Genomic DNA, 8,300 nt, shown 5'->3' with positions numbered 1-8,300 from the left:
CATTTTCTCACGCTGAATCACGATTTGTAAATTGAGGAAGGAAGCACGGATAAGTAGGGATGGTGCCACACTACCTCTCAGGCTGGGCGCTAGAGGGCAGAAGCTTCTAGGAAATCTTCACAGGCAGACCTTCACTTCTAAAAATGCCCAAGGATCTACAACACTGGTGAACCTGGAGAACATTATCTTAAGTGAAATAAGCCAGACCCAGAAAGACAAATACTGCATATCTCACTCGTGTGGAATCTAAATAAACGTCGAGCTCACCATAACACGGAGTAGTAGTATGGTGGTTACCATGGACTGGGGGATGTTGGTTACAGGGTACAAAACTTCAGTTATAAGGTGAATAAGGTCTGGAAACCTACTTTACAGCACGGTGACTATAGTTAATAATAATGTGTTGTGGAGTACTGTGGCATGCCTCTGTAATCCCCACTACTCAGGAGGCTGAGGTAGAGGATTGCTTGAGCCCAGGAGTTTGAAACCAGCCTGGCCAATGTAGTGACATCCTATCTCTTTAAAAAAGGGGAAAAAAATGTATACGTGAAATTTGCTAAGAAAATAGATCTTAAGCATTCACACCACACACAAACAAACATGACAGATATGTGACTAGTTTGATTGTGATAATCACTTCACAATGTACACATATATCAAAACATCACATTGTACACCTTAAATGTGTACAATTTTTTTGTTTTTTGAGACAAAGTCTCACTCTGTTGCCAGGCTGGAGTGCAGTGGCACAATCTCAGCTCACTGCTATCTTGACCTCCTGGGTTCAAGCGATTCTCCTGACTCAGCCTCCCAAGTAACAGGGACTACAGGCACACACCACCACGCCCAACTAATTTTTGTATTTTTAGTAGAGACGGGGTTTCACCATGTTAGCCAGGATGGTCTCGATCTCTTGACCTCGTGATCCACCCGCCTTGGCCTCCCAAAGTGACAATTTTTTTTTTTTTTGAGACAGAGTTTTTTTGCTCTTGTTGCCCAGGCTGGTGCGCAATGGCGTGATCTCAGCTCACTATAATCTCCGCCTCCCGGGTTCAGGCGATTGTCCAGCCTCAGCCTCCCCAAGTAGCTGGAATTACAGACATGCACCACCACACCCAGTTAAATTTGTATTTTTAGTAGAGATGAGGTTTCACCATGTTGTCAGGGTGGTCTTGAATTCCTGACCTCAGGTAATCCACCTGCCTTGGCCTCCCAAAGTGCTGGGATTACAGGCGTCAGCCACTGCGCCCGGCCAAATGTGTACAATTTTTATTTGTCAATCATACTTCAGTAAAGCCAGGGTTGGGGGGTGGAGATGATTGATGAAAGAGCCTCTGAATGCAAAAACGTTTAGGAATACCTTGACCAATTAGATTTGTTTGTATTTTCTTTTTTTAATCTGTGCACAAGAGTGACATAAAAATCAGAAAAAAATCAATGTCTAGCTAATTCTAAAACAGCTCTTTCAACATGTTTACAACAAAAATTCTAAGAGATATAAAGTATTTAGTGATTTTTTTTAAAATGCCCAACGAGGGAAACACTCATCAGCCAGTCGTGGCCGCCACTAGGGTCTAACAGTCTAAAACCATGTCGTCAAGTTGCTCGCTGTTCTATCAAAGTTCTGCCTTATGATGGGAAAAAAACAGTCTATGTGACATTCAATGTTGGCCTTGTTTGGCTTGTTTGCATGGGTTATCTTATGTAGACTTGATTTCCACAAGTGCTACCTCGGGGGTCTTGGCTCCCAACTCTCTGATGATTCTTTGGCTGTGTCCTTCTGAGCAACATTTGTTTCTCTACAGGATGAATGTTGTCGGTGTTAGCGCTGAGAACCAGAGTCTATTCAGGATGGAGGGTGTATACAAAGGAGGGGGAACTGGGGCACAAAGAGAGGAAACTGGTCCCCGTTCTTTAGTTTGCTCCCCATTCCGGCCTCGTTTTAACACAAAGGCAGGCGTTGTTGACAGATGTTGTAGGGGACACAGGGAGGTCTTCCACTTCCTGGTTTCAGATTGAACTCCACGTCACCTTTATCAAAATTTGTTGAACAGCCCCCTGAGCTTTTGACCTGATCCTCGCTCTCTTTGTTGTGAGTTGCCATCTGCAGGGTCTCTGCTCCTGGTTGTGACACCTCCTTAGTCGTCTTCTGGCATCTCTCCTATGGGCACCACTACTTGCCCACAGTGGCTGTCCTAACAATATCTCTCAACATTTTAATTGTCACCTTCTAGGTTAACCCCATTTAAAAAGAGGTTTTGTTTCGATCATGCCTCTGGGATGTAATAGCTCAAACCATAGAGTTCCCTTTGCACCTGCTACCAAATCATGTGGCTCCAGGAAATTCTGCGCTTTCCCACCATTTGCTGTTAATCAGTGAACTCCAAAGTTCCTACCACTCCTGGCTGGGGGATTCAAAACAAGCCCAAGGCAAGATTCTTACACACACTGAGAACAACAGAAGAGTAATTCAGAATGAGATTTTAGGACAATAATTTTTAAAGTTACTTTTTAAATAAAATAAACAACCATGCCCGTAAAGAAGGCCACTGTAGTATTATATTAGCTAAAAACTGCACAGAAATATAGACCATTAAATGACTGGGTCCTAGCCTTGGCGCGGTGGCTCAGGCCTGTAATCCCAGCATGTTGGGAGGCCAAGGCGGGTGGATCACGAGGTCAGGAGTTCGAGACCAACCTGGCCAACATAGTGAAACCCCATCTCTACTGAAAATACAAAAAATTAGCCAGGCGTGGTGGTGGGCGCCTATAATCCCAGCTACTTGGAAGGCTGAGGCAGGAGAATCTCTTGAACCCAGGAGACAGAGGTTGCAATGAGCCGAGATTGTGCCATTGCACTTCAGCCTGGGGCGACAGTACAACATTCCGTCTTGGAAAAAAAAAAAACAAACAAAGACTGGGTCTTCAGTTAAAAGTGATCCAAATATACCTCGGACATTCAGACACCGCACTAGAATGTAACCATCACTAGGTGATCATCAGTACAGATGATGGCTGGGCCCCCAGGTTAACCAACAGTGATTTAAGTTTCCATGAGACAAAGGTTAGCTGTGCTAACTGGTTTCCAAACAAGGTAAAAAAAATACCACACTAGGAACACGCTGTATCTCAAAGAGTAAAACGATATGTCAAACCTCTCCCTCTGCATTATAAATGCCATTTGCATTACAATGGTACTACACTGTAAAGAAATGTTCTACGAAGTTTGTTAGATGAACTACATGTGCTCTGTTTCAAATCACATACTAATAAAAGTGATCTAGGCCAGGTGCAGTGGCTCATGCCTATAATTCCAGCACTTTGGGAGGCCAAGGCAGGGGTATCGCTTGAGATCAGGAGTTCAAGACCAGCCTGGCCAACATGGCAAAACCCCATTTCTACTAAAAATACAAAAAAAATTAGTTGGGTGTGGTGGTGCATGCCTGTAGTCCCAGCTACTTGGGAGGCTGAGGCAGGAGAATCACTTGAACCCTGGAGGAAGAAGCTGCAGTGAGCTGAGATTGCACCACTGCACTCCAGCCTGGGTGATACAGCCAGACTCCTTCTCAAAAAAAAAAAAAAAAAAAAGTAATGTAGTTCTTTGATATATTTGCATAATTCCCTAACTAGACTACAGCTGATTCCCCTTAAGAAATGTCTGTAGGCTCTCTATGAAAAACAGAGTTTCTTTCTTTTTTTTTTTTTGAGACAGTCTCACTCTGTTGCTCAGGCTGGAGTGCAATGGCAGGATCACCGCTCACTGCAGCTGTGACCTCCTGGGCTGAAGTGATCCTCCCACCTCAGCCTCCCAAGTAGCTGGGACTATAGGTGCAAACCACCAGTCCTGGCTAATTCTTTAATTTTGTGTAGATTGGGGTCTCGCTAAGTTACCCAGGCTGGTCTCAAACTCCTGGGCTCAAGCGATCCTCCCACCTTGGCCTCCCAAAATATTGGGATTATAGGCATAAGACAACTCACCAGGCCTAAAAATTAGTTTTTTTTAAATCCAACTTCCTACGTAAATTGTGTTACTACTTTGTAGGATGCTTACTTTTTCTTGAAGGTGTTTGATTTCCCCCATGAACCTGTCAGCATCTTGAGAGAAGGGACAATGAGTTATTTTTTTCTAATTGTACAGCTCAGCATTTTGACTAAATGAACAGCAATGCGTCTGAGGGTTGGCCTCCCGTGCTGAGGTCTTGTCAGTGGCTACCAGAGGCTATGCAAGCCCCTGCTCCAGCCAAGTGCTTCCCCTTCTCTCTCCAAGTGGATCCTAGATTGGCTGAATTTATGGACCTGTTCCTGGCCTTCCCAGGGATGTAAGATCCCCAGGAAAAGGCCATGACCTGGCTCATCATCAAATCGATTTCTTGCTTCTGATATTCTACTTCCATTGCCTGAACCTTTGGCCAGATATTTTGCCCCTTTGACACCGGTGCTTGGAATTGTTTTGTGGCTTACTCCCTCTCTTCAACTCTTGCAGGATCTCTGTCCCCTGAACACTAGCATTAGGTTTTGAAATGTTCTTGTAATCCTTGTATTCACTTCTTTTATGGCATATTTCTGATTCTCTGATATCATGCTACCATCATTAACTCAGTGTCTCCCCTGGCTTTGTGATAGCCACACTTTCTCTCTTTCTTTCGTCTCTCTCTCTCTCTCTCTCTCCCTCTCTCTCATCCATTCTCACCCCCTGGGTTCTCAACCTGACTCTCAAACCCCATTTTGTCCTGACTCCAACAATGATACATAAACTTATGAACTTCAGTGCAGGCAGACAGGTACGTAGAAGAACTTTGGATTCATCAACATTTTAATGAAATCCTGCCTCTTGCTCTTTGGAGGTATAACCTAACCTGGATGCCCAAAGGTAGCCATAGTGAAGAAATGTAAGGCCCCTAATAAACATCTATCCAGCCTCTGTGCTTAGCACTATGGATTTTATAACGACAAACCACAGACTTTACAAATCTTACAATCTAGGTCGCGTGCGGTGGCTCACACCTGTAATCCCAGCACTTTGGGAGGCCTGAGGCAGAAGAATTGCTGGAACCTGGAAGTCCGAGGTTGCAGTGAGCTGAGATCGAGCCACTGCACTCCAGCCTGGGCAACAGAGCGAGACTCCGTCTCAAAAAAAAAAAAGAAAAAAAAATATTGGCCGGGCACAGTGGCTCTCGCCTGTAATCCCAGCACTTTGGGAGGCTGAGGCAGGCAGATCACGAGGTCAAGAGATTGAGACCATCCTGGTCAACATGGTGAAACCCTGTCTCTACTAAAATATAAAAAATTAGCCAGGCGTGGTGGCTTGCACCTGTAGTCCCAGCTACTCGGGAGGCTGACGCAGGAGAATCACTTGAACCCAGGAGGTGGAGGTTGCAGTGAGGAGAGACTGCCACTGCCCTCCCACCTGGTGACAGAGCAAGATTCCATCTAAAAAACAAAAAAAACTTACAATCCAGAAAGAGAAGAAAGGCAGAAAACCATATGCAATGTGAGACAGTTCATGAACAAAACACAAATCTAGCGAGAAGTTTCAGAAAAGGGAGTGTTATGGGTTGAACTGTGTCCCCTTCTCATTATTCATACACTGGAGTATGAACACCGAGTCCCAATCCCCAGTACCTAGAATGCGACTTAATTTGGAAACAGGGTAATTGCAGATGTAATTGGTTAAGATTAGGTCATTCTGAAGTAGGGTGAGCCCTAATCCAAAATGATTGCAGTCCATATGAAAACGGGAAGGAAAGAGTCACCCATGCAGGGAGAATACCATGCGATGATGAAGACAGAGATCAGAGATGGTTTCAAATGAGTTTCCATATCTCATTGATATTAATAACGTCATTCCTGTGCTTTAAGGACTAACACTAGGAAATGCAACCAGGGCAGTTCTGAGACAGATGTCACAAAGCATGGGTTCAAGGAAAGAGGTCATGTTGATCTAGCTTTTTTTGTTTTTTTTTTGAGACATAGTCTTGCTCCGTCACCCAGACTGGAGTGCAGTGGCGCGATCTCGGCTCACTGCAACCTCGCCTCCCAGGGTCAAGCGATTCTCCTGCCGCAGCCTCCTGAATAGCTGGGATTACAGGCATGTGCCCTACGTCCAGCTAATTTTTGTATTTTTAGTAGAGACGGGGTTTCACCACGTTGGTCAGGCTGGTCTCAAACTCCTGACCTTGTGATCCACCCACCTCGGCCTCCCAAAGTGCTGGGATTACAGGCATGAGCCACCCTGCCCAGCCGATCTAGCTTTTCAAAAGTGGCAAAGCCACTTACCTCCTCAGTGCCTCAGTTTTGTCTATAAAAAGATAGCATCATCCCTACATTTTTTTTACTCTCTCAAAAATGTGATGAGGGTAAATGAGATGAGATTAAAAGATGTTTATGATGTGGGGAAATAATTTAAAAACAGATAGATACAGGCTTTGAGCAATAGAAACGCATGTGTGTGTGTGTGTGTGTGTTGTCTATGGATACACATATACATATCCATAAGTACGTGTGTGCCATTAGATGGCAGCAGGAAGCTAATTCATAACAAAGTCAGCTTCAGCCAAGTTTTTCCCTTTATCAGACAGATTTCCTGTGACTTGGTCTCACTGACTCAGTCTCAACAGGATTCTCTGTGAGTGTCTCTTTGTCTTCTCTTTCTCCCTCTCTCTTTCCTCTCTTTCTACCCTTTCTTCCTCTCTCCCCAACTTAAAGGAAACACCTTTTATTAAATTATGAAAAACGCCAAATGTTCACAAAAGAAGAATAGTACAATGAGCCATCAACCCAACACACAAATTCAACAAATTCTGCCATACTTGCTTCAACTATCCATCCAACCTTCTCTCCTTCTCTCCCTCCCCACTGAATTTTAAAGCAAATATCAGACTTCATGGTTTTCCACCTATATACTTCAATATGCATATGTAAAAATTATGTCCACATCCATACATAATCATAATGCCATTGTGAAACTTAATAACATTAATGATAATTTCTTAGAATCTTATCATGTCTCTTTTCAGTGCTTTGAAGCAAGAATGATGGCCATATTTTACATAATTTATAATTTATGAAATAGAATATTTGAATAATAAACCAATTCCATTTTGAAGGCTTCTGATGTAGTACTCTGTTAAAAAAAAAAAAAAAACTACTTGAGAAAAGTATGGATTGACTATATTGGAAGTTGCAAGGCCTGAGGAATGTTTTCCCGTGATTTTAGTCCCTCTCATCAGTGTTCTATGCCTCAGTTCTGGTAACCCCAGAATGACGCTGTTACCTGACAGTATTCTAATGAAGATTAAAGAAATGACATCTGTTAATCTTATTAAGTTCGCTGAGGCAGGATGAGGCTGGGTGCTGGTAAATGGAGCAGATAAATGATGTGAGGCATCTACACTTTATTTTTCATGTTGAAAAGTCATCATAGAGAAACTTTCTCCTTTGGTGCACGTACTAATACTTCAGAGCACGTATGAACTACGGTAGGTAGGAAAGTCGCACCAGAGACTACCTCTTAGTAACCTTAGCAGAAAATTACAGCGCAATGCCTACAGCCCTGGGAAGAGACACATATAAATCCATTTCACACCATGTAGAGCTTACATAACTGAATCAGAATTTTTTAAAAAGGAATCTGGTTGATAATTGTTCCAGAAGAAATCAACTCAATTTTTCAGTAAATACCAAAAACATTCATAAGACCTAGGTATTCTACTGTCAGCAATTTATACTAAGGAAACAAACATAGATGGAGGCAAAGATGCAGTTTCAAGGACGTGTGTCAGTGTTGTTTATAAAAACAAACTTTTAAAAAATAACCCTTAAATATGCAACAACAGAGATGGGTGAATAAATTGCATTATAGAACCATGATGGGATACTTTGTAGCTATTAAAAATCACCTGGTAGGAATACACTGATTAACACGTAAATGTTTTGACAATATCTTTAGTGAAAAAAGTCATGTTATAAGATAGTACAGGCCGGGCATGGTGACTCACGCCTGTAATCCCAGCACTTTGGGAGGCCGAGGCAGATGGATCACCTGAGGTCAGGAGTTTGAGACTGGCCTGGCCAACATGGTGAAACCCCATCTCTACTAAAAATACAAAAATTAGCCAGGCATGGTGGTGCGTGCCTATAATCCCAGCTACTCAGGAGGCTGAGGCAGGAGAATCGCTTGAACCCAGGAGGCAGAGGTTGCAGTGAAGTGAGCCGAGATCATGCCACTGCCCTCCAGCCTGGGTGACAGAGCGAGACTCCATCTCAAAAATAATAATAATAAAATAATATAATATAGTATA

General features: G+C 43.1%; 1 long non-coding RNA gene across 8 annotated transcripts in view; it reads right to left on the bottom strand.

The window, feature by feature from the left end:
- TSNAX-DISC1 (TSNAX-DISC1 readthrough (NMD candidate)) overlaps nt 1–8,300 on the bottom strand; it is a 512,620-nt gene that overhangs the window by 450,406 nt on the left and 53,914 nt on the right. The window lies entirely within an intron of this gene.

Source organism: Homo sapiens, chromosome 1 (genome assembly GCF_000001405.40).
Source record: "Homo sapiens chromosome 1, GRCh38.p14 Primary Assembly".
NCBI lineage: Eukaryota > Metazoa > Chordata > Mammalia > Primates > Hominidae > Homo > Homo sapiens.
The sequence above is the reverse complement of the archived record's forward strand: the minus strand, read 5'-3'. Positions and strand labels throughout refer to the sequence as shown.